The sequence below is a fragment of the Homo sapiens genome, chromosome 1, assembly GCF_000001405.40.
Source record: "Homo sapiens chromosome 1, GRCh38.p14 Primary Assembly".
Classification (NCBI taxonomy): Eukaryota; Metazoa; Chordata; class Mammalia; order Primates; family Hominidae; genus Homo; species Homo sapiens.
Genome location: NC_000001.11, coordinates 48,088,420 through 48,115,664, shown reverse-complemented (window position 1 = coordinate 48,115,664; position 27,245 = coordinate 48,088,420). Strand labels below are relative to the sequence as shown.

Below are 27,245 nucleotides of genomic sequence, written 5' to 3'. Positions count from 1 at the left end.
TTTACCTGGTATTCTATTCTACTGCAGCTAAGCTGGCACTCAAACCACAAGACAAATTCCTCCCCACTCTTCCCTCCCCTTTCTACAGGCAGACATTGCCTCTCCCTGTGGCCACCACCAGCAGCAGCCCATGGGGTGTTTTACTTAAAGTTCAGGGGCTCTTTGATCAGCTTGTGATTAATGCTACCAGGCCTTGGACTCAACCTTCAGGTCAGTGGGTTTCCTCTGGCTCCAGAGAGGTCCAGAAATGCTGACCAAGAGACTAGGCCTAGACTTGGGGACCACAGGAGCCTATTTGTTGCTCTATCCCAGTGTGGTCAAGCTGGTATGTATGGTGCAAGACAGGGTACTCTTCACTTTACCCCACTCCCTGCTTTTCTGAAATAGTCTTTCACCATAGCCACCACAGCTGGGAATGTGGTCACATCTGAAAGCAGCATGTCTCAGAGCCAAAGGCCCACAATGTACTACCTGGGTATCACTGTTTGTTATTCTTGGCCCACGAGCTCTTCAGTCAGCAAGTGATGAATACTGACAGGTCTCTACTGTGACAGGGCAGCACAGAGTTCAATATAAAGTCTCACATTTCCTGCACTCTCCCTCTCCCAACAACACAGATTTCTCTGCACCATGCATCTGCTGTCAGAGAGTGGGGGAGGTGTGGTGCAAGCCCTCCCTTTGCCACCCTGGCTGTTCTCTCAGTAGGTTGCCCTCAGTCCACTGGCTCTGAGCTCAGCTCAGTTCTAGGACTTGCCTAGGAATTGCAATCCTTTGGCACAGACTGTCATTCAAGTTCACTTAGGGCCCCGGAGCACTCCAGGCTGGTGGTGAGGCTTGCTGGAACTCAAGCTCTGACCACTGGGATGGGTGATTTCCCTCTGGCTAGGGCTAGTCCAAATACTCCCTCCATGAGCGGATGTCAGCTGAGTACAGCCTGGTTCTGCTTTCCACTATAACAGGGCAGCACTGAGTTCAATGCAAAGCCTCACAATTGCTCTGCTGTCTCTCTCCCAAGCACAGATTGTCCATGCCACGCAGACACTGCCCAGGGGATAGGGGAGCAGTAGTGTTGCCAATTCAAGACTGTCTTTCCTGCCCTCTTCATGTCTCTTTCAGTGATATGATGTTAAAATCAGGTACTGTGGTTACTCACTTGAGTTTTGGTTTTTGTGATGGTGCTTTTAATGTGCAGTTAGTTGTTATAATTTAGTGTTCCTGCAGGGAGAGGACAAATGGTGTAGGCTTCTATTCAGCCATTTCGCTCCACCCTAAGAGACTATCTTTAACAAATGGTGTTGGGCACCCACAGTGGTTCATGCCCGTAAGCCCAATACTTAGAGAGGCAGAGGTGGGAGAATTGCTTGAGGCCAGGGGTTTAATACCAGCCTGGACAACATAATAAGACCCCCAACTCTACAAAAAGCAAAAAAAAAAAAAACTGGCCAGGTATGATGGCACGTAACTATAGTGCCAGCTACTTGGGAGGCTGAGGCAGAAGGATTACTTTAGCCTAGGATTTCAAGGCTGCAGTGAGCTAGGATGGCACCACCACACTCCAGCCTGGGCAACAGAGTGAAACCTTATCCCTAAAAATAAATATAAATAAATAAATAAATAAATGTGGTGTTGAGAAAATTGACATGTAAAACAATGAAACTGAATCCCTATCTTACACCACACAAAAAAAATCAATTCAAAATGAATTAAAGACTAAGACTTGACACCATAAAATTCTTAGAAGAAAACATCATAAAAAACCTTCATGACATTGATCTTGCCAATGATTTCTTGGATATGACACTAAAAATATAAACAACAAAAGCAAAATAAACAAGTGGGACTACGTCCAACTAAAAACCTTCTGCACAGCAAAAGAAACAATCAACAGAGTGAAAAGGCAGTCTTTGGAATGGGATAAAATATTTGCAGATCATACATCTGACAGGAGTTAATATTTAAAATACATAAGAAATTCCTACAACTCAAAAGCCAAAACCCAAATAATTTGATTAAAATGTGGGCAAAGGTCTTGAATAGACATTTCTCCAAAGATACACAAATGGCCAATTGGCATATGAAAAGGTGCTGAACATCACTATAAGTGGGGAAATGAAAATCAAAACCACAATTAAATGTTGCCACACACCTGTTAGAATGGCAATTAAAAAAAAAAAAACAGAAAATAACAAGAGTTGGAGGGAATATAGAGAAACTGGAATACTTGTGCACTGTTGGTGAGAATGTCAATAGTGCAGCCACTCTGGAAAACAGTATAGAGGTTCCTCAAAAAATTAAAAGACAGAACTAGCATATGTTCCAGCAGTCCCACTCCTGGTATTTTCAAAAGAATTGAAAATAGGATTTCAAAGAGATATTTGCACTCCCATATTCAATGCAGCATTAATCACGGTAGCCAAAATGTGGAAACAACCTAAATGTTCATTGACCGATGATTAGATAAGGAAAATGTGGTATATTCTTACAATGGAATGTTATTCATCCTTTAAAAAGAAGGAAATCCTGTCATATGAAACAATATGGATGAATCTTGAAGACATTATCCTAAGTGAAGTAAGCTAGTCACAGAAGAACAGATAGTGTATGATTCCACTACTATGAGGTATCAAATGTAATCAAACTCATAGAAGCAGAAGGTAGAATGATGGTTTCCACAGGCTAGCCACGTGAGGGGATAGGGAGTTGGTGTTCAGTGGATATAGCATTTCAGTTACACAAGATGAAAAAGCTCTAGAGACCTACTGTACAATATTGTGCTATAGTATACACTTAACATTTTGTTAAGAGGATTGATTTCATATTGTTAGTTTTTACCACAATTTTAAAAATGTAAAACAATGAAACTTCTTGAAGAAAACAAGAGAAAACCTTTGTAACTTAGGACGAGGCAAAAAACTTCTTAGATATGAAACCAAAAGTATAATCCAAAAAAGAATATATTTATAATATATTTATAATTTGGACTTCATAAAAACTTGTCTTTAAAATACGCTGTTTTAAAAATGAAAAGACAAACTACAGACTGAGAGGAAATGTTTGCCAAGAATATCATTCATAAAGGACAAAATGTGTAAAGAACTCTCAAAACTCAACAATAAGAACACCTAATAAAAAATGTACAAAAGATTTAAACAGACAATTCACCAAAGCAATGCAGATATGCTCAGCATCATTAGTCTTTACAGAAACGTTGACTAAAACCATGAATGAGATACCACTAAAAGCCTATTAAAATGGCTAAAATCAAAAAGACTGACTATACCAAGGTTTGGCAAGAAAGTGGAAGATTCCTGGGCCACTGATGGTAATGTAAAATGGTACAGCTGCTTTGTAAAACAGTTTAGCAGTGTCTTTAAAAGTTAAACTTATACCTACTATATGATCTAGCCCTGCTGCTCCTAGGTTTTTAGCCAAGAGAAAACAAAGGATACACTTATACAAAGATTTGTATAAACAAATATTTATGTTAGTTTTATTTATAATGGACATAAAACTGAAATAACCCAAAAGTCCATCGATGAGGGAATGATTAAATAAACTATGGGATATACGTACGATGTTATACTACTCAGCAAAAAAAAGAAATAAATGGTACACAAAATGACAGAGATGAATCTCAAAATAATCATGCTGGGTGAAGGAAGCCAAACACAAAAAAGTTCATATTGTATGATTCCATTTATATAAAGTATTGGAAAATTCTCAGCCATTATTTCTTCACATATTGCCTCTCCACCATCCCCTGATTTTTCTCCTTCTGTGATTATTATTATACTTACTTTAGCCCCTTTGACACCCTCATGTCTTTTACATTTCTCTATGTGTTTTGCATTCTTTCTCTGTGCTTCAGTTTGGATACTTTTTATTTACTTGTATTTCTGTTGTTTTGCTGTGCTCAATTGACTTAATTTCAGATTTTGTTTTCAGTTTTTAAGTCCCACTTAATTTTTTTATAAATTCCAATTACCTATTAAACTTTCCATCTATTCATCTGTGTTAGCTTGGGCTGCCATAACAAAACCGTAGACTAGATGGCTTCAACAACAGAAATTTATTTCATTGCAGTTCTGAGGAGGCTGGAAGTCTGAGATCAGGGTGCCAGCATGGTCTGGTTCTGGTTCTGGTGGGGACTCTCTTCCTGCTTGCAGATGGCTACCTGCTCACTGTCTGAAGGAGACTTTGTTTTATCTTCTCAATTTCCTATTAAGTTTTTTATAATCGAAATTTTAATTTCCAGTAATTTGTTGTAATTCCTTAATCTTTATTACTGTGTTGCCTTTTTGATGTTATTGGCAGAGAAGGTGGGTATTTGGGGTTTGTTTCTGTTTGATTTTGAACTCCTATTCTCTAAATGTATCTTTACTTTTTTCAGTTTTTTTAATATTGAATTTCTTTCCTTAACATTGCACACTTTTCTCGAGTATCTTGGAATCATTTTTACCGATATATATTTAAGACTGAAGAAAAAGAAAGATGAAGTCAGAGTGAGACTTACAGACCATCAAACTTTATCAGCTACCAGGAAACCAGTCATTTCTCTAGAGCACCTCTCCCTCAAAAAAGTGCCAGATTATGGAAAGGTTTACACAGGTAGGCAGTAGCTACACCTGCTCTCCTAGATGGCTTCTTTAATATTTTTTAAAAGGAACTTCTATTTTATTTTATTTTATTTTGTTTGTCTGATGTAATCAAAGTTATGGCCTGTTTGGTTTGCTTTTGCCAAGGTATAAATACTGCCTAAAGGCCATTCTGCACATGGGGATATGATGCAAGTCGACTTGCATGTACAAAGCTTCAACTCATCCTCCTGTCTGGGCCCCCACTTTTAATTCTCATTCTTTGTTATGCATACAGTCTCAAGCCTTTCTAGGATATTACCAGGGCAGTTGACTGCCTTTAACTGTAGTTTCCTTGGAATTGCAAATATCAATAGAGAGCTGGTTCCTTCTCTTTGTTCAGGTTTCAGCTCCAACATCACCCCAGAAAAGTCTACCATGACTTCTCTATCTAAATAAACCTCATCTCAATCACTCTCTATTATGGTTTTCTATCTTGTCATCCTCATAGCATTTACCATCATCTGAAATGATTTTGTTATTGGATTTTTACTTCTGCTACTAACATGCAAGCTCATGGGAAGAAGTTTTGTTTGCCTCATCCATAGCTACTTCCTCAATGCCTTTACCCATACCTGAAACACGAGAGGTGCTCGTATATTTATTAAGTAAAGACATAGTCATAAGATACTGGGCAAGGTCAGAGGAAGGAGAGATGCTTCTGCTCCATCTCAAAATTCAACTAGCCCAGGCTCAGCCCCATTCCCAGAACTTCTCACTCCAAACTCAAATTCATTCTCCCCTATCCAAGCTTAGAAAACCTGGGATAATATCATTTATCTTTTACCAACCCTTGCCTCGCCTCCAATTCCTATGTTCCTAGTTTATTGATTGTTACATCTGTCTGGTAATTTCAAATTCACAGTTTCTCATGACTTCCCTAAATACAGTGCTTATGATTGTGCCTTACCTCCATCCTGTCTACCTAGATGTGTCTCAGAATAATAGAATAGTTAAGAGCAAACAAAAAGTAATAAATATGGAATTGAAGAAAACAAATTTCCTCCACCTCTCTGCCACTTGAGACAAAACTGGTTCTTTTCCCCAGGGCAGGGCTGTGTCAGAATCTTGTCCCTTCATAGACTCAAAGTCCAAAGCCTGACCCTCTGTGCAAGGATCCAAAGAGAATGAAAGTTCCTCTTGCATCAGAAGGACTGTCTCAAGGGCACCTGTGCTGTCTGCCTCAAATATGTGTAATACAGGATGCTAGACTGGTCGTTCAGCCTCAAATTCTTTTTATCCTCAGAGAAGATACACATGCATGAATTAATAATCAATAAAATAAACATGTGTCTGTCCTCTGGCGTTTCATTCACCGTAAATGGACACCATGACCTAGAGAAATACAACAAAAAGAAATTGGGAAAACATTGGACAGAACCAGTGCTGTTTCTTTGGAAGCTAAGCAGTAAAAGCTGTAAAAGTACATGAGTGCCATCTAGAGGCAAAACTAGCACTGCAGTGTTGTTAAAGGTTGTTCATACTCAGGAGAAAAGAGAAATTTGCTCCTGGAAACCCATAAGTGATGGGAAAACTTGTCATGACAACCTGATGGATCCTGCCCTATCGTCAATGACTGGCAGTAAGCAAGTTTTTCATATCCCGAGTCAAAATTTGCCTCTGCCTTTCCTGACCGCTGCAGACCACAGTAACCTCCCCTCCTCTGATAGATCCTAGGGTATTTTCTTTAACATTTAATCAGTCCCAAGTCAGAACAAGTTCTCTCTTCAACAAATATCTTTCCCGATATATTCTTTGCATCAGACTCTGAGCTCAGCAATGGGACTGTCTGCTGGTTTACAAGTCACTTCATGAGCTGGAGGGACGTTGTCCATCCCCTCCTTCCCTGTGACAGGAGTTCCCTGCATAACATCTCTGAAATGCACTTCCTAACCTTTTTAGAAATGGATCCTTTGGAAAAGCACATCCCACCTGCTCTAAGACAGGTAAAAATCTGTAGGCATATAACTTCCCGCAGTGAAAATCATGGGTTTGGAAGTCGGTGAGATGTACTATTGAATCCTACCTCTGTGATTTGTGAAATGTGTAAACTACCGAAACTTGGGCAAAGGACTTAACATCTCTGAGACTTGATTTCCTAGTTGTTAAATGGAATAATAATACCTACCTGTGGTCTTATGGTAAGGATTAGCAATAGCACTTTTTTTTTTTTTTGAGACAGTTTCGCTCTTGTTGTCCAGGCTGGAGTTCAATAGCACGATCTTGGCTCACTGCAGCCTCCACCTCCCAGGTTTCAGTGATTCACCCACCCCAGCCTCTTGAGTAACTGGGATTACAGGTATCTGCCACCATGCCCGGTTCATTTTGTATTTTTAGTAGAGATGGGGTTGCACCATGTTGATCAGACTGCTCTTGAACTCCTGACCTCAAGTGATCTGACCTCAAGTGATCCACCCTCCTTGGCCTCCCAAAGTGTTGGGATTACAGGTGTGAGCCGCTGCACCCAGCCCAGTATTTATTATTTATATACAACCTGGCACAACCTGGAACAAAGAAAAAGTGGTAAGAAAATATAAACTTTCACTATCATTATGATAATAAAAGTTCTATGAGATTAAGTCATCTACTTTGCAAAGTTGTTGTGAAGACTAAATTATGTATACATGTATGATAGACTGCCAGGCAAAACAGAACTTAGAATTTTTTTCATCAAGAGAACCTACCAGTGGGTTTGGCAGGATATGATGTCTCACACCTGTAGTCCCAACACTTTGGGAGGCTAAGGCAGACAGATCACATAAGGTCAGGAGTTCAAGACCAGCCTGGCCAACATGGCAAAACCCCATCTCTACTAAAAATACGAAAATTAGCCAGGTGTAGTAGCACACACCTGTAGTACCGCTACTTGGGAGGCTGAGGCAGGAGGATCACTTGAACCCAGGAGGCAGAGGTTACAGTGAGCCAAGATCGCGCTACTACACTCCAGTGTGGGCGATAGAGCGAGACTCAGTCTCAAAAAAAAAAAAGAGAACCCGCCAGTGGCTTCTATCTGACAACATTGTAAGTTTTATCACCTTGAAATAGACGTTTTATTTTTCTCTGAACACTTCAGTTGCATCTCTGAGTTATTGCAAACAAAAGACCACAAGGTACACGCTAAGATATTAATATGGTTTGGCTGTGTCCCCACCCAGATCTCATCTCAAATTGTAATCCCCATGTGTTGAGGGAGAGACCTGGTAGGAGGTGATTGGATTATGAAGGCAGTTTCACCCATGCTGTTCTCGTGATAAGTGAGTCAGTTCTCACAAGAACTGATGGTTTTAAAGTGTGGCACTTCCTGGTTCTCTCGCTGTCTCCTGCCACCTTGCAAAGAAGGTCCTTGTTTCCCCTTTGCCTTCTGTCATGATTCAAAGTTTCCTGAGGCTTCCCCAACCATGTGGAACTGTGAGTCAACTAAACCTCTTTTGTTTATGAATTACCCAGTCTCAGGTAGTATCTTCATAGCAGTGTGAAAACAGACTAATACAGATGTGGAACAGCTGTAACAGGATTCTTTAAGCCTCACAAAGATTATCCTTTGCAAAATGTCCCAAGATTTGACTACTTGGGAGAGGGAGCTAAATTTGCACAGGGGTGGCCAGGCATGGTGGCTCATGCCTGTAATCCCAACACTTTGGAAGGCCGAGGCAGGCAGATCACCTAGGTCAGGAGTTTAAGACCAGCCTGGCTAACATGGTGGAACCCTGTCTCTACTAAAAATACAAACACTAGCCAGATGTGGTAGCAGGCACCAGTAATCCCAGCTACTCAGGAGGCTGAGACAGGAGAATCGCTTGAACCTGGAAAGTGGAGGTTGGAGTGAGCCAAGATTGTGCCACTGCATTGCAGCCTGGGCAACAGAGCAAGACCCTCTCTCAAAAATAAATAAATAAATAAATTTGCACAGAATCAAGCCAATCTCTTCCCCCTAACAATCGAGATTAGATTCTCTCTGATAGATTGAGTACATTTGGAAACATCACCAAATGCTTTACACTACACAATGTTCTTGAAAAAGTCAAGGAAGATGGACATGATTGGCAGATAGGCCTTAAGCAATTAAATGAAAAGCAAAAGTGATATAACCTATTTTTATGCCTTGGGCTGATAAAGAAAATCAGTCCAACTATTCATGTGCAGCATCACATCTGGCATGTGGTAGCACTCAATCAATGGTGGTTCTTATTACTGATATTGTTCCAAGTGGTTTCTTGCTAATCCAACCCAGAGCTTGTGTCATCTGGCAACAGTCTCATCTGGGCCCAGTTAGCAACTTCTCTATGAGCTAGCCATGTTAACAACCTTTCTAGCTCACACAGTGGTAGGCCAGAGCCTGTTAGGATGGAGGGAGAGATGGCAAGGAAGTGTGGCCAGCCAAGGCTGCCAGCACAGACACAACTCAGAATTCTAAAATATGTTCCCCAGCAAGGAGAGATCTGAGAAATGCCTCAATGTAATGCTTGCCCTTTGGACTTGTCTAATAGGAGCAAGTTGCTCTAAGTGATGTATCTAAAGTGTAGCTACCCATGCTGTAGATTATTTTTCCTTTTTCTTTTCCCCCATCAGTGTTAACCTTCTTGCACAGAATAGAGGAGAACAAACAGAGAAGGGAATGAAGTAATAGTTCTTAGGGATGTGACAAAGTCCAGAGGCCTCAAATCATCTCTTGAGTGTGTTACACTTTCTCTCCCAATGGATTTTCCATGTTTGCTACATGAATAATGCACCATTAAGCACTGAAGCAATACAATGGTAGCCTTAACAAAATAGCAATTTGAAAGTTAAACTGTCATTACTAGTTTGTATCTCAATAGTGCATCTTTCTTTATAACGCACGCTTAATTTCATTAGAGGCATGGGGAATAAATCATATTCCCCTTGCCTATGGTGGGGATCATCTTATGGTTGCAAACATCAAGATCTATCTTTAGATTTATTGGTGACAAATATCAGCCCATTGTCCTAATGGTGAAATAACATAGTCTACTAGCACAGGATACAAATTTAATTTAGTGAAATTTCTTTAAAAAAAAAAAAAAAAAAGCTCTGAATCACAAGCAGTATGAGCTGGAAGCATTCAGAAAAATAACCCACGCCTGGTTCTTAGCCTCAGAGGCACTCCAGAATCACCTGGGAGCTTTCAAAAAATGCATTGCACAGGCCCCAACTCAGACCTATTAAATCAAAATCTGTAATTATAGGGCCCAGTTATCATTTTTGAAAACCTCCCAGGTGATTAATAAGTGCAGCCCGGAATGAGCACCACCCATATACATCAACCCCATGATTGTACAAGGGGGCTTTAGCCCCACAGGGGAGATAGCTGGTGCAGGGTTCCCAGGGATGGCTGGAGAGCTGGGTCCAGAGCCTGGTATTTTGCCCCAGCTGGCACCCTTCCTGATTGGATGCTGTGCCTTAACATCTCTTTGCCTTGGTTCCTTTTTCCCTCAATAGCCTACCCCTGCCTCCAGGTTTCTACTTCATTCACTAATTCATTAGACTTGTGTGGAGTACCTACTATGTGCCAGATAACCCCATTCCTGGAATATCCCCCTATGTCTTAGCTCTGCCAAATCTTTTCCATTGTGGTGATCTTTTTAGCACTCCTAAAAGGCAAGGCTTCCTGCAAGCAACAGCTTCTGACTGCTCTAACCACAGGAGGGAGCCAAGCACCCCACTCTTTTTTCTATAAATCCACAGATTGGACAAATCAAGCAGAGGGCAAGTGGATCGCAGGAGGCAGGGCCTGCAGGGAGTGGGCGAGGGCTGTAAGAAATGAACTCTGAGTGACCTTTCAGGCTTGAGCCACCGTGCTGCCCACCTGAAGAAGGCCATGGGGTACACCAAATACAACAGGCTTGACAGACAGGCACACCTAGGACTTCACTGGCTGAGAGTTCGCCTGGACCATCACTTATAAAGCAACCACAGAAGGTTGTACCAAGATCCAATGTGGCCAAGAATATAAGTGCTGGAACAGAGCAAGTGCCCAACTAGCTGGAGTTCCATCTTCTGAGAGCCCCTCCCCTTCCTTTTCTCCCTGCTTTCTTTCATCCTCATCCTATTCTCTTTCCTTTTCCTGAGAAGCCACATAGAGCAAGGAAGGCCTGAGATGCAGAGCATTCACCCCTCCACCATGGGTAGCAATTCATGATGTAGGTTCTCCTGCAGAAACCAGCCTATAAATGTCAAGTTGTAGCCTTGACATGTCCCAAGGATATGATGAACACTGCCTCAAATGGCCTTGTCTGTCACCAATCCTTCACCAGATCATCCCTCAGTCAGAGGATCTGAGGCAGGAGCCTGCGGTGACCTGCAGGGTCCTTGCTCTGCCCTCCCCAGCCCTCTATGGCCACCTGGTCCCATTGGTGAGTAGTCGTTGGGCCTCTGTTGACTGTTGACTGAAACTCACTGCCACATAAGGCAGCCACTGTCAGGCTGTCCCTGTTGTAAATGAAAACTTGACACTCCCCCAGCACTTCTGCCTTTGGCCCTTCAGAGATTTGGAGCCAGAGAGATGCCCCTGAGTCTTCTCTCCTTCAGACTTTAACAAAGAAATCTCTGCCCACCCTGGTGAGATCTCCAATTTTTTGTGGTCCTCACTCCTGAAGATACCTGGTTTGGTGTGGTGACCCCGGTGAGGGCAAGGGGAATCTCTAAGGGTTTGTGCTATGCTATGAACCATAATACACTTGTCAACACCAGCCAAGATCACATTAACCTGGGAGCAGCAGGTCAGCCTCCTCTTTCCTGTCCACCTCTGGTTCCCAGATTGGTTTTTTATGAACAAACAAAAGACTGAGCTCCCTAAGGTGAGGTATTCATAGTTGGGGGTTTGGGCCTAAAGGCAGACTGGTTCCACCAGACTCCTGCTCACTGTCTGCGGTTCCCTCTGTCTCTTCTCTGTGGCTATCCCCAACACGCAGATTGGTAACTGTCAGCCAATGCACACAAGGCTGTGCTCTCTCAATCACAAAAGGAAAAAAAAAACACTCCTTGAGACTCCAACTCCTACATTCTTTTCCTAGGAAATGCAAACCCATTCTTAAATGAAAAGTCACATTCCCACTGTCAGCCAGGCACCACCAGAGTTGGTCTTGACCAGTAGGTGGATTGACTGATTCCTCCCAGGGCTGTGAATGAGGATACACCTTCCATGCTGACCCATCTGTCGCTCCCTTTCTTTCTCCCTCCCTCTCAATACACACACACACACACACAGACACACACCCACGGACGCACATACAGAGACACACAAATACACACACACAGACACACACACGGAGATACAGGTATACAGAGACACGCAGAGGTAGACACACCCAGAAACAAACAAAATGACACACACATACATAGACACAGATACACACATATAGACACACACAGAGACACATACAGAAACACACATCAAAGACACATACAGGCACACAGAGAACACACACACAGATACACACACAAACACAAAAAAAGAGACCCACAGACACTCACACAGACATACACATAGACACAGAAGCACAGACACAGAGACACACGCAGACACAGAGATACATGCAGACACACAGACACACACACAGATGGCCTTAGCATCCAGCTTCAGGGCAATGCCCTCAGGCATGGGCACTGTCCCTATTTCATCCCTGTATCCCCAGCAAAGTGCCTGCACACAGTATGTGCACAATAAATGTTTACTGAACTCAACAAAGCCACAGGGGAGACAGTCCAGACTGCTTAGAGCAGCCACTTAGAGCAGCAATGAGAAAAATGAGTCCTGTCCAAATTTCCTTCTGATTAAATCCTGCATATAAAGTTCTAACTGGAAGATTTTACATTGTAAAAACATTTCTGAGACCCTCCCCACTTCCTTTCCCACAAAGCCCAGACTCCATCATGAGCCCCCGTGACGTGGCCCCTATTCTCTTGGCTGCAGCCTCTTGGGGAGAGTACAGTATGAGGCAATTCTCTGGGAGGTTCCCAGATCATCTTTGGCCTACTTGTGTGCCCCCAAGAAACCTGGGATCCTGGGAAACACCATTATCAGACAGTGCCTGCTCACCAAAAGTCCTCCTGCCCAACAGCTTCCTGAGCCATATTGAAACCCAGGTTTGCCTGACTCCAAAGCCTGTGCTTGAAACCACTGTGCCCCACAGCCTCCAGCACCGTCAGCAATGAGAATCCCCAGATAAGATGAAAACAGCGCTTCCAGCCAGGAGAGCAAGGCCCACGGCTGCAGCAGGAAGAGCCACAGGAGGAACTGGGCTCGGTTTCATGAGGAGGCAATTATGGTTGTCAGAGGCACCTCAGAGGCTGGATGATACATGTGTGAACATTCCTTCATTCATTCCTAGAAATGAGACATTACAGAATATGGTTGAAGCAAAGGGTCTAGCATCAGACAGAGCTGGGTTTAAATCTTGGCTCTGCCACTCAAATGCCAGGTAACCTTAGTCAAGCCATCTGAACTGCCTCACTTTCACTCAACTGTAAATTGAGAATGATCGTATCCCTATTTTAAAGGTTGTTGTGAAGATTAAATGAGATAATGTATATAACAGTTATTAGACCCTCACAAAAGTCTTACAAGGTAGATATTTTATTCCCATTTTACATTTGAGAAAACTGAGGCACTAGGAAGGAAAAAAATGTTTCCAAGTTTGCCCGGGCCCAGTAGCTCAGACCTCTAATCCCAACACTTTGGAAGCCCGATGGGGGCAGTTCAGTTGAGGTCAGGAGTTTGAGACCAGCCTGGCCAATGTTACAAAACCCCATCTTTACTAAAAATACAAAAATTAGCCAGGCAGGGTGGCGGGCACCTATAATCCCAGCTACTTGGGAGGCTGAGGCAGGAGAATCACTTGAATCTGAGAGGTGGAGACTGCAGTGAGCCAAGATCACACCACTGTCTCCAGCCTGGGCAACAGTGCAAGACTCCGTCTCAAAAAAAAAAAAAAAAAAAAAAAAAGGTTTCCAAGTTTGCACAGCTTGTCACTGGCAGAGGCAGAGGTGGGACATAGAATACAATTCTGCCTGATTCTTCAGCCTCTGCTGATAGCCCATCTCACTTTCTCTCTCCATCTCAGGATGTGTGGAGTCCCCCTGCCATCTGAGTGACCACTCTTGCAGGACCAGGCATCACCATGGCCTGGAAAAACCAGCCTCAGTGCCCTCAGTATTTTTTGGTTGCTCCTTCCCTGGAGTCCTTCACAGCACCAGAAACTGACTCTTCCTGGCTCCAGTTCTCTTCTAGATCTGAGAGGACAAAAGCCCCACAACCTCCCAGCAACCTGTGCATCAATAAAGGCTGCCTTGCTCCCTGTCTACAGTGAGCAGTATGTGCCTCCCAGCCTGAAGCCCTCTTCTGCTTCAAGAAAGTACCTATGCAGTTCTCTCCTGCTTCTGAACCCACTGTTACAAGCCTATGGACAGGGAGTGAGTGGCCTGTGCTCACAACAGGTGCACGGTCCACCACTCTGCCTCTGGCATCCAGAGACACTCACCCCAGTGTGAGCTATTTAGGCCACTCTCAAGGGGTCCTGGCCCATCTCACCTCCCCTCTTCATCCCTCTCAGTTCAGGATGTGGGCCTCCTTGATTTCATAGTTCTCTTTTCTTGTTACCTAGAGGACATGCTCTCCCCACCCACCTGCAAACACTTGTGTGGGAGTAGCTATCTCAACATCATGAGCAAAAGGTAGGTTTTTTAAAACTATAGCAGATGGTGAGAACATAAGAATCACCTTAGGTATTGTAGTTGCTTAAAATTATCCTCCTGCAAGAGATTTTAATATGGAAGAGCCTGAGGTGAGGCTCAAGAAGCTGCGTTGTTAACTCTGGGGTCTCCTGACACCAGCCCTCAGGGCCTTGCTGCTTTAATGCTCCTGACTCAAGGTCCTGGGGAAGGATACCAGTCATTAAAACCCAGCCAGGACCTCCAAGGTGAAAACTGACAAAGCACAGGCTCCCGTGTCAAACAAATCTGATTCACATCCCAGCTGCACCATTTTCTAGCTATGCAGTTGGGGTCTAATGACTTACCATCTGTGAGCCTCAATTACCTTTCCCTGGGACCCCCTCCCTCATGCCTATTTTTAGAGTTATCATGAGGATTAAGTGAGGAATTATACATTGACTAAATGGCTCAGAAAAAGTGAAATCAGCATCCCTTCAGTCTCTGCTTACCTCTCTACCAGGGGATCTCATGCCCATGTCTCCAGCTTAGCATTTGTTGCAACACATTGAGAATATCCGGGTATGTCTCTCTCTCTCCAGTAGGCTGTGAGCTCCTCGAGGACAGGAGCCAGGATTAAACCCTCTTTTTATTTCCATGGCCTAATGCAGAGCCCAGCACACAGTAGGGTCTCCATGAGTTGTGGGTCTATTGAAATAGAGAGGACATTCATTGCGTCCTTCCACCCCCGGAACCTCAGTCAGTTCATGCAAAAATAACAAAACCTACCTGTGTTCACTGAATTACTATTTAGTACCAGGCCCTGTGCTAGGGACATAGCATACCTCACTTCTAATCCTTATTCATCCCTGTGGATATATATTACTAACCCTGACCCCACTACACACATGCACACACATCCTGGGTTTTTGTTTTTTTTGTTTTTTTTTTTTTTTGTTTTTCACTTAGGAGGTTACTATGGTTCAGAAAGATGAGGTATCTTGCCCACAGTCATATAGCTAGAGGATCTAGTTCAACCATTGTGGAAGACAGTGTGGCAATTCCTCAAGGATCTAGAACTAGAAATACCATTTGACCCAGCCTTCCCATTACTGGGTATATACCCAAAGGATTATAAATCATGCTGCTATAAAGACACATGCACACGTATGTTTATTGCAGCACTATTCACAATAGCAAAGACTTGGAACCAATCCAAATGTCCATCAATGATAGACTGGATTAAGAAAATGTGGCGCATATACACCATGGAATACTATGCAGCCATAAAAAAGGATGAGTTCATGTCCTTTGTAGGGACACGGATGAAGCTGGAAACCATCATTCTCAGCAAACTATGGCAAGAACAAAAAACCAAACACTGCGTGTTCTCACTCATAGGTGGGAATTGAACAATAAGAACACTTGGACACAGGAAGGGAAACATCACACACCGGGGCCTGTTGTGGGGTGGGGGGAGTGGGGAGGGATAGCATTAGGAGATATAACTAAGGTAAATGACGAGTTAATGGGTGCAGCGCACCAACATGGCGCATGTATACATATGTAACAAACCTGCATGTTGTGCACATGTACCCTAGAACTTAAAGTATAATAAAAAAAAATTTAAAAAAAAAGACTGACACCCAAACCATAGCCCCAAAGCCTGTCCCTCCTCACTGCAAGAACAGCCTCTCTTCCATAACCAAGGACCAATGCCTTTGCCTGAGGATCCTTCCCCTTTCTCAAGACTTGTTGAGGTCAAGGTGAAGGGCATGAAAGGAGCCAAGCAAACTTCAGTGTCGGCCGCGTGTCTTAATGCCCATCTGATATGTACTCATCTAAAATTCTCCACAGACTGAAGCCATAAAATCATAGCCTTATTTAGTGGTTTCTCCAAGTCTAGCTCTGAGGCAGCTCCACAACTCTTGGCTAGGAATATTAATTCAAATAACTCACGCAGACAGCTGTGTAACCAACACGAGAGATAGATGGAGCCCAGAACGCCCCTGTGCAGTAGATCACAACCCCCCACTCCCGTGCCCTCCCCGAAGCTGCCCGGACAGAAAGAGGTCAGTGATTAATTATGCTAAGATAAACAGAGTTAATTTTCTTCCTGGATAAAACTAATTACAACTGTGTTTGTTTTGGTAGGACATGGAATTACTGTCCCCGGTGACAAATCTTCCTAATTGAAAAGAGTGTTTATTTTAAAGGGGTGGGAGTTGGGGTCACTAAACAACAGTTAGCTAGTGTTTTCCCCATTTTTCACTTGAAGAGGGACAGTGATTAGGCATTGGCCTCAAAGAAACGAGCAAAATCTTTTTGTCCACGTTTCCTTCCTTCAAGCCCACTCGAGAGCCTTGGCAACAGCATGAGGGAGAAGAAGTTGGCAGTTTGGAGGTTTCCAAGAAGAATTCATGCCCTGTGGTTAATTAGATTTTAGTGGGTGGTGAAATCAGGGTGAACCCCTCTTTGGAAATCCAGTGAGGAGGGAGGAATGAGCATTTTGAATCCCACCACCCAGCAACATCATAAACTGTGGGAGAACATGTGACCCAACTCAGATCAATTCTTGCAGCATTATGCTAGGTCAGCTCAGTGCTAAAGCAACAGGGATGGAGAAGAGGGAAGCAGAGTCCCTGCTCTCAAGGAGGCCAGAACAAGAATTGTTGTTCACATATCTGGTGCCGAAGGAGCAGAAGGAAGAAGTTGTGGAGAAGGTGGGCAAACAGAGAAGAGGAAGAGCCTTCCACCAGAGACCAGTATGAGCAAAGGCGTGCAGGTGCACAGTGTGTTTCAAGAGCTGTACATAATCCAGTGTGCCTGGGATAACAGGGTGAATTGAGGCACATGACTGCAGAGGAGGCTGGAAAGATACCTGGTATTTGGATCATGACAATTTATGTTCATTTACTAGGGCTGCCATAACAAATTACCACAAACTGGGTGGCTTAAAACAACAGAAGTGTATTGTCTCGCAGTTCTGGAGGCTGGAGATCCGAAATCAAGGTATTGGCAAGGGCTTGCTCCCTCCAAAGCCTTTCTGGAAAGAAGAATCCTTTCCTTGCCTCCTCCAGCTTCTGGAAGCAGCACCAGGTGTTCCTTGGCTTGTGGCAGCATAATTCCAATCTCTGCCTTCACTTCCCATGGCTGTCCTCCCTCTATTCCTATGTCTGTGTCCAAATTTCCCTCTTTTTATACAGATTTCAGTCATACTGGATTAAGAGCCCACCTTACTCCAGCATGACCTCATCTTACTAATTACATTTCAACAACTCCATTCCCAAATAAGCTCACATTCTGGGGTATGAGGAGTTAGGGCTTGAATGTACATTTCTGGAGGACACAATTCAATCCATAGCACAGGTTGCAGAGGCCACTTACAGGAGTGTGAAGTTTAGGAGCAGAGGGAAGACACTCTAAGAGCTGTAAGTGATGGAGGGGCTCCATTTGTTTGTTTTATTTTATATAAGACTTCTCTGGGTCCAATTTGGAGGACTCATAGGTGAGCATGACTCAAAATAGGAAGACCAGTTGGGTAAAAAGTTGTTACAAAAATGCTGGTGAATCTTGATTGTACCCAGAGATTGACAGTGGCAGAAAAGGTGGGTTGGAGAAAAAGGAATCTGTGACAGGGCTGTTTAGATTTCCAGGATTCTGGGGTTTAAAGAACCTCATTATTACTGGGGTGGTGGAACAGTAAAGAAAAGTGGGGGAGTCAAGGACCACTTCCAGGTTTCTGAGCTCACTGAGGAGAAGCAGATTGGAGGGGAGAGGAGTTCAGTTCTGTACAAGTGACAGGTTATGCAATCAGTGACATTCGGGAAACAGTGGGATGTAAAGGTCTGAGATTCAGAGAAACACTTTCCTCTGGAGATACAGATTTAGAAGCCATCAAGAATTAGATGATTATTGAGGCAGGAAGATGGATGATGCTCCAGAAAGACCACATAGAGTGAGAAGAGAAGGTCCAGGACAGAAGCCTGCAGAACCAGTCATGAGAGAGGCTAAAGGAGAAGGGGGATCAAGGGTTTACACTGAGAAAGTGCAGGGTCTGACTTCCCAGCCTTCCAGCCCCAAACCAAAGTGACCTCCTGCCACCACGGTGCACACACCAGTACTTACGTGCACTACACCTTCTCCTGAATGCTGATTATCCACACACGCGCAGAATCCCCTGATCCCAAACTCTGCCAACTCCTTAAGTGTGTTGTGGACCATGTCATTATCTGCTCCCCTTGTGTTCCTCGCGGCCTCCCTAAAAAGGATTTAGCACAAAGCAAGTGCTTATCACTAAATATATGAATAAATGTGATTAATTAAACCACCGTCAAAGATGTATTTAATACTTACAGTAGGTAAGGCAAGGTTCTCTAACAGAAACCAAGTATAGGGCACAAGATAAAACAGGTGCTCACTAAATGTTGTTGAAAGGAAAGGAGGAAGGGGAAGACACCAGTTAGCATCAGAACTACTCAGAATAATGATAGTAAGAGGCTCCACCGGAGAGGCCCCAGGACTGCGTGATTGTGATACGGAAGAAAGGGCAGAAGGTTGGACATCGGGACACCTACATGCCAATTCTCCTCTCACAGTAACTCCCTGTGTAAATCATTCAGCTTTCTGGACCCAGTTTGCTCGAGTATAAAGTTAGGGGTTTCGGTTATAGATTTTCTGAGAACCTTTGCCTCTGCAAAGCTAGAGTCCAAATTAAAAGTGTTGAAAGACAGAGTACAGAGGAAAACTAAGCTCTGGTTTTTTTTTTCGACAGTTACACACAGAAATGCTGAACATTTTCTCAAGTAATCCTCACCCCTGTCTCACAGAGAAGAAATGGAGGCTCAGAGACGTTTTGATATGCCCAAGGACCGTGAGAAGACTGGAGCATGGGGCTGGGGATGCACCAGGGCTGGGAGACAGGGGCGAGCATCCCCACAGTCATGGATGGCAGGGAGGCCGCGCTGCAGAGCTATTAAAACATGGCCTCTGACTTGGCGATGCGGGCTCTTTTTTGGTTCCATATGAACTTTAAAGTAGTTTTTTCCAATTCTGTGAAGAAAGTCATTGGTAGCTTGATGGGGATAGCATTGAATCTATGAATTACCTTGGGCAGTATGGCCATTTTCATGATATTGATTCTTCCTACCCATGAGCATGCAATGTTCTTCCATTTGTTTGTATCCTCTTTTATTTCATTGAGCAGTGGTTTGTAGTTCTCCTTGAAGAGGTCCTTCACATCCCTTGTAAGTTGGATTCCTAGGTATTTGATTCTCTTTGAAGCAATTGTGAATGGGAGTTCACTCATAATTTGCAAGTCAATCCTAAGCCAAAAGAACAAAGCTGGAGGCATCACACTACCTGACTTCAAACTATACTACAAGGCTACAGTAACCAAAACAGCATGGTACCGGTACTAAAACAGAGATGTAGATCAATGGAACAGAACAGAGCCCTCAGAAATAACGCTGCATATCTACAACTATCTGATCTTTGACAAACCTGACAAAAACAAGAAATGGGGAAAGGATTCCCTATTTAATAAATGGTGCTGGGAAAACTAGCTAGCCATATGTAGAAAGCTGAAACTGGATCCCTTCCTTACACCTTATACAAAAATTAATTCAAGATGGATTAAAGACTTAAACGTTAGACCTAAAACCATAAAAACCCTAGAAGAAAACCTAAGCATTACCATTCAGGACATAGGCATGGGCAAGGACTTCATGTCTAAAACACAAAAAGCAATGGCAACAAAAGCCAAAATTGACCAATGGGATCTAATTAAACTAAAGAGCTTCTGCACAGCAAAAGAAACTACCATCAGAGTGAACAGGCAACCTTCAAAACGGGAGAAAATTTTCGCAACCTACTCATCTGATAAAGGGCTAATATCCAGAATCTACAATGAACTCAAACAAATTTACAAGAAAAAACAACAACCCCATTAAAAAGTGGGCGAAGGACATGAACAGACACTTCTCAAAAGAAGACATTTATGCAGCCAAAAAACACAAGAAAAAATGCTCACCATCACTGGCCATCAGAGAAATGCAAATCAAAACCACAATGAGATACCATCTCACACCAGTTAGAATGGCAATCATTAAAAAGTCAGGAAACAACAGGTGCTGGAAAGGATGTGAAGAAATAGGAACACTTTTACACTGTTGGTGGGACTGTAAACTAGTTCAACCATTGTGGAAGTCGGTGTGGCGATTCCTCAGGGATCTAGAACTAGAAATACCATTTGACCCAGCCATCCCATTACTGGGTATATACCCAAAGGACTATAAATCATGCTGCTGTAAAGACACATGCACACATATGTTTATTGCGGCACTATTCACAATAGCAAAGACTTGGAACCAACCCAAATGTCCAACAATGATAGACTGGATTAAGAAAATGTGGCACATATACACCATGGAATACTATGCAGCCATAAAAAATGATGAGTTCATGTCCTTTGTAGGGACGTGGATGAAATTGGAAATCATCATTCTCAGTAAACTATGGCAAGGACAAAAAACCAAACACCGCATGTTCTCACTTATAGGTGGGAATTGAACAATGAGAACACATGGACACAGGAAGGGGAACATCATACTCTGGGGACTGTTGTGGGGTGGGGGGAAGGGGAGGGATAGCATTAGGAGCTATACCTAATGCTAAATGACAAGTTAATGGGTGCAGCACACCAGCATGGCACATGTATACATATGTAACTAACCTGCATATTGTGCACATGTACCCTAAAACTTAAAGTGTAATAATAATAAAATAAAAATAAATAAATAAATAAATAAACATGGCCTCTGGACAAAGGCCACCCGGTGTGAACCCTAATTCAGGCAAAAACGTGTTTCACACAGTTTTGAATTATTTGAGGCTTGGAGTTGTTCCAACAGCAGTTAAAGGTACTGACTCAGGGAGGAGGGTCCTTCCCGTGGCTTACCAAAAGTATTTTCAGATCCTTGGGCTAGCGGGGAAGTGACAGTATTATAACCACGGAAAGCCGTGGTCAGCAGTGCTGCGGAGGAGGGAGGAGACCTGCACTGTAGCTCAGGCTGTCCGTGGCACGTTCCCTCTGGCCTCAGGCTCCTCGTCGCTAATGCTTCATCAGTGAGCCCCAAGATCCTTTTCAACTCTGACACTCTGTGAAACCTCACCCTGAATTCTAGGAGCCCAGGTTGTTGATTTGTGTTGCACAGTTAAACGCTTCATGCTTGCGTGAGGCTGCCGTTCTCTGGAACACTCTGAAGCAGCGGCTTCCAAACGCAGGTCCCTGCACCAAGCTGAATCATAATTACCTGTAGGGCTTTATAAAAACACATATGCCAGGCCGCCACACCAAACCCACGGCGTCAAAATCTCAGGGGCGGAGCCTGGGGATTTGTATTATTAGAAATCTCCCAGGTGAGCCCGGTGCTCAGATCCACCCGTAGAACCAGTTGTGCAGCTGCCGCACCTGCGTTTCCGATGCAGCACCTGCCACCTGGTGCACATAGAAGGTACTGCAGGGATCCTGCAGGTCCAGGCAGCTCACTGCAAAGGGTGGAAGAGGACTCTGGGGTTTCTCATCTGGGTAACCAGCTGTCAGATACAGCTGGGCTTAAATCCTCACACTGACACCTCCAGCAATGTAACCACAGGTGCACTTAGAAAAATTGGGTGGAAATCCAGTGTCAAATGTGGGTTCTCTCTTGGAATAGCAAAAAAAAAAAAAAAAAAAAAAAAAAAAGTCCCATTCTTTCTCTTATGAATGGGAAAAGTGTTTTCTGCTATGCAAAGATCTAATTTCTTGGGGTGGTGATGGGGATAGAGTAATGAAGGAGGGGCAGCGAAAATGTGGAGGAGAAAATAAACTCATATGTTTGGGTTCATTTGGACTTTTTCTTTCAGTGGTGAAGAGAACTTAACTAGTAATAAAGGACAGATAATAAACACGGTTAATCCTCGGATAGAGCAGACCGTGTGCCAGACACTGATTAACAGCTTCATCTGTAATCACACTTCATTTCCAGCGCCAGCCCAGTGAAGTAGGCACTATCATGATGCCCATAAAAACATATAAGGAAACTAAAGTACAAAGAGGTTAAGTGATTTATTTGATGCCTCTCACCTGGATGTAGTTCCGTGCGTTCTGATCCAACATTTCATCTGTGTAAAACAAATATTTTCACGTAGTGTTCCCCTTCCTCATCCACCTCCATTCAGCATTCAAACTGCCCTTGCTTCATCAGGAGATGGACTGACAACACAGCTCAGAGAAATGGAAAACACTCAACATCAGCAAAAATGTTTGGAAAAACATCAAGGATAAGAGCAAAGTGATTAAGGAGAATGACACTTCCTGTGAACTGGAGAGATACATGTGAAATTTCTGTAATCTATATTTAGACAAGTTGGTTGTGCCTCGGTTTCTGTCATCTGCCAAAAGGGGGAAAAACTAGTGCCCATCCTATAGGTTGTGAAGAGCAAATGACATAGTGTGTATACAGCAGTCAGCACAGTACCCCTTTCAATGTTTAGCAGCTGTTGTTAGCAGATCAGATGTAACCAGTTTATTGAGAAGCCTCAATCCATTGCGGTATAGGTATAAACAGTTCAACTTGTTTACTCTAGCCACAACTGTTAACCATGATTTGTCCTATCTGTCAGTATCATTTTCTAATGATATTTTCAGGTAGATCCCATTGCTTTCCCATCGATATCAGTTACCAAAAGTCCCGTCTGGTCTAGTTCACAACTCCCATCTCATATCCAGTTTCAATAGCACTTCCTCGTCTCGCTTCAATGTTTGCCAGACTTGTACCTCAAGTTACGAGAGTGGGAAGGGGACATGGAGAAACCCTGTCACTACAAAAAAAATACAAAATTAGCTGGGCATGGTGGTGCATGTCTGTAGTCCCAACTACTTGGGAGACTGAGGCACAAGAATCACTTGAACCTGGGAGGCGGAGTTTGCAGTGAGCCGAGATCACGCCACTGCACTCCAGCACCTGGGCAACAGAGTGAGACTGTCAAAAAAAAGAAAAAAGAAAAAAAAAACACCAAGGGTGGTAAAAGGTTGTGGTCTTGTCTTCTAATTTTCTCCTTTCTTTTCTGGGTCTAGTGCCTTTCATGTTGAGGGAAGAAGGGAAAATAAGAGGAATAACAGAGATCGCTCTAAATAAGTGGCTGTTTGTCATTGGTGGAAAAAGGCTCCTGATCTTACACTGGCTTTACCTGCTTCCCTCTGTTGCTGGCGGCCTCTGACAATATGTTGGTCTCCTATTAGATGATGTGGTGTATGGAGTTATATGGTTTTGGACGCAGATGTTCATCTTTATGCCAGCCCCCTCCATCTCTGATGACCCCACAGAGGGGTAGCTGTGTCTCCCTTCATCCTATTAGCAGTCTGTGGCTCCCAGCTTCCTCTTTGGCCAGATGTCACCTTATCTGGTCCACATCAATCAGAACTCCCACCTTATCCTCCAACTTCTGTTCTCTCCTTAAAATGGAGCCCTGATGAACATGGAGGTCTTCTACACTCCCCAAGGGCTGAAGGGAAGTTGGTGAGGTAGACAAAGAGCACAACATTTTCTTCTTTTGTGGAAAACTTCACTACAGCACCTGCTGTCCCTTCAGAAGTGTGTTGCTCCACCATGCTTCCAGACATCAGAAATCTATGGTAAGAATTGGATGCCAGGAGATTTGCACTTTTGCCCACAATTAAGTTACCAGGATTGAATTTACCCTCCTGCATTCAAAATAAAAAAGATAAAATGTCAGAAACGCCATTTTCAAGACACTAGACCTAAGACAACAAAGGATAGTTACTCCCTAAGAGACAAGAAACAAACTAGGTAAGCCCTATGACTGCCCCAGCTTGCTGCCTTCAGAGACTATGCAGGCTACGGGACAGAGAAGAAAGTCTGAGAGGAGCCCAGTAGGATCCTTGAACTGAGGTAATAAGGCTGCGAGTTAGGGAAACCAAGTGGACTAGAGTTCATGGATGGACAAAGTAATAAAAGGAAAGAGATGTGCAGAGAAAGAGCCCTGACTATCTGCAGAGCATCCCCCTCTGATATTCAACAGAGTCCTGATTAGCACATGCATGTGAAGTAACACTTCAGGATGGAGGAAAAATAATTTGAAAAGATTAAAGAACATTGTCTGATGCTCACACGGGGCTGGGAATATTGCATATTCCCCCCTCTGACAGCTGAATGAAATCATACTTTATGAGCATTGGGTAGAGTACCCCAGAAAATCTTGCTTAGTAGTGGGGCATAATTAGCCCTAGACTGCTCAGATATGCCAAATAAATCATAAAAGCAAGACCCAAGAAGATCAAACAATTTCCAGGCAACTTAACACATCCCAGAACAAAGCTCAAGAAGATTTATAAGAATCAAAAAGATCCACCACCCAATAAGGTAAAAGTGACCATTTCTGGCATCTAATCAAAGATAACCAAGCATGCAAAGAAGCAAGAAAACACAAAGAGAATAACCAAGCAATCAAAACCATCCAAGAACTGAAACAGATTTAAAATTGTCAAGCTAAGATGTCAAAATAATTATTATAATTGTTCTCTATATGTTCAAAAGTTAAGTAGAGGCATGGATGATTTCAAAAATACTCAAATAGAACCTAGAGATGAAAACTACAATGTTTTAGATGAAAAATACTCTGAGTAGGATTAAGGATATATTAAACATGGCAGAAGGATGGCTAACTTGAAGACATAGCAATTAAAAATAATGGCAAAATAAACAGCAGAAGAAAAAATAATAAAATTCAGTGCAGAAATCAATGGAATAGAAAATAGTACAACAGTAGGGGGAAAAATCAATGAAACCAAGAGATGATTTTTTTAAGATCAATGGAATTGACCAACCTCCAGCCAAGTTGATCAGGGAAAATATGAAAAAAGACACAAATTACAAAATTAGGAATGAGACAGGTGCCATTACCACACATTCCCTTATATTAAAAAAAGGAGAATATTATGAGCAACTTTATACCTATAAATTTGACAACTCAACAAACCAATTCTTTAAATAACACAAATTATGAAAGCACAGTCAAAAAGAAATAACCTTAGCATCTCTGTATCTACTTGTTTTTTTCTTTTTTGTTTGTTTGTTTGTTTGTTTGTTTTTTGTTTTTTGCAGTCAACACACATTTATTGAGCATCGACTCTGTGCCGGGCCCTGGGTGGGCACAGGGGGCTCAGAGACGAATCACATGCAGCCCCTACCATTGAGGCCGTCACAGCCTGGCAGGGCAATTGGTCACGTCAATGGACACTCACGATACAGTGTGGTCAGTGGTGTTAGAGGTAGCACAGGTGACCGAGGGAGCACAGAGGAAGGTCCTCTGACCCGGCTGGGGGTGGCGAGGAGGGCTTCTTGGAGGAGGTGACACCTGAAGAGGGCTTTAGGGAGTGAACGAGAGGTTGTCTCGTCTGAGGAAGTGGCCTGTGCAAGGGTTCAGTGGTAGGGACAATGGTGGCTGGGAGTTGAGCAAGGGCCAGTCCAGGAAGGGCCGTGGAGTCCGCAGGCAACAGGGAGCGCTGAGGGGTGTGAAGCAGGCGGTCGGCAGAGGGCCCGCTAGAAGCCAGCATGAAGGGTGGCCCAGGGGACAGGGCAGGGGAGAAGGGTGGGTCGCCGTGGACAGCAGAGGTGGACGAGCACGGCCCTTGCCCGGGGAGTCTCATCCTGCCCGGAGGCCCCCTCAGCAGCGGGGAGGTGGGGCTGCAGGCTGCCAGCCGCGGGGCCGCAGGGTGCACAGCTCTGGGTCCAGTGGCTTGAGCGTGGCCTGCTACTGCAGCCCGAAGCGCGGCCCGGGCACCAGCTGGAACTCCAGCCTCTGCAGCAGCTTTGCCATGACCACCTTCACCTCCATCTGAGCAAACTGCTGACCGATGCAGGAGTGGTGGCCCAGGGAGAAGGGGAAGTAGGTGAACCGTGGCTTGGGTGCTCCGGGGCCAAAGCGATAGGGGTTGAAAGTCAGCGGGTCTCTACTAATAAAATAGAACTTACAGACAAAAAAAACTTTCCCACTAATGAAGAAAACTCTAGTTTCTTCACTAGTGAATTATCCCAAACATTAAAAGAAGAAATAACACTAATTCTACACAAACTCTTCCAGAAAACTGAAGAAGGAATGCCCGCCAACTCATTATTTGATGCCAGCTTTACCCTGACACTGAACCCCGATAATGACAATACCAGAAAACTACAAGCCAATATCTTTCAAAAACACAGATACAAAGTTCTAAACAAAATTTTAGCAAATCAAATCCATATTAAAATGTAACAAATTAAATCCAATAGATAAAAAGGATAATGTATTATGGCCAAGTGAAGTTTTTCCAAGGAATGCAGGGTTAGTTTAACATACGAAAATCAGTGCCAGTTCTGGAGATCTTTTGCACAACAATGTGAACATACTTAATAAACTGCACAGTTAAAAATGTTTAGATAGAAAATGTTTGTTATGCAAGGTTTTTATCACAATTAAATTTTTTAAGAAAAATCAATGTAATTCACCATTTTAACACATTGAAAAGAAAAAAAAAACAACCCACATGATTATATCAACAGAGACAAGAAAAAGCATTTAGCAAAATCAAACAACCTTACAAAATCCAACTAATCTGGATAAAAACTCTCAACCAACTAGGAATAGAAGAAAACTTTCTCATTTTAAAAAGTCAATAAAAATATCTACAGCTAACATTTTATTTAATGGTAAAGACTAAATGTTTTCCCTCTAATATCAAGAATAAGAAAAAGATGTCTACTTTCAGCAATTTTTTCAACATTGTTCTGGATGTTTTAGCCATGTGTGCAGTCAGGAAAGAAAAGAATAGAAAGAATCCAGGTTGGAAAGGAGTGAATAAAATCATTTTTTATTCCCAGACGATGTAACTGTCTATGTAGAAAATAA

General features: G+C 43.2%; 1 long non-coding RNA gene and 2 pseudogenes across 7 annotated transcripts in view, besides 1 other annotated feature; 1 reads left to right on the top strand and 2 right to left on the bottom strand.

Annotated features, from left to right (window-relative positions):
- SKINT1L (Skint1 like (pseudogene)) overlaps nucleotides 1–13,950 on the top strand; it is an 80,714-nt pseudogene extending 66,764 nt beyond the window's left edge. Inside the window, exon 10 of the transcript NR_026749.2 lies at nucleotides 13,715–13,950. The product of NR_026749.2 is annotated as a Skint1 like (pseudogene) (transcript). The remainder of the gene's footprint in view (nucleotides 1–13,714) is intronic.
- Nucleotides 1–27,245, bottom strand: part of LINC02794 (long intergenic non-protein coding RNA 2794) — a 131,616-nt gene that overhangs the window by 65,722 nt on the left and 38,649 nt on the right. For 4 of the 6 annotated variants that reach the window (XR_007066068.1, XR_007066072.1, XR_007066070.1 and 1 more), the window contains 3 exons: nucleotides 22,426–24,045; nucleotides 18,429–18,561; nucleotides 14,813–15,008 (listed from right to left, as the gene is read on the bottom strand). This is a non-coding gene — a long non-coding RNA (long intergenic non-protein coding RNA 2794). Of the gene's footprint in view, nucleotides 1–13,905; nucleotides 14,525–14,812; nucleotides 15,009–18,428; nucleotides 18,562–21,258; nucleotides 21,622–22,425; nucleotides 24,046–27,245 lie in introns of those variants that run through there. The other 2 variants (XR_007066073.1, XR_007066071.1) reach the window with 2 other exon arrangements.
- Nucleotides 21,960–23,159: an enhancer, noted in NCBI's record as "BRD4-independent group 4 enhancer chr1:48558178-48559377 (GRCh37/hg19 assembly coordinates)". NCBI's record gives its function as "activates an origin of replication core promoter dependent on BRD2, P300/CBP, MED14 and CDK7 cofactors, and independent of BRD4, by STARR-seq in HCT116 cells {active_cell/tissue: HCT116}" and the evidence as "EXISTENCE:reporter gene assay evidence [ECO:0000049][PMID:35650434]".
- On the bottom strand, nucleotides 25,831–26,312 carry CYP46A4P (cytochrome P450 family 46 subfamily A member 4, pseudogene; annotated as a pseudogene).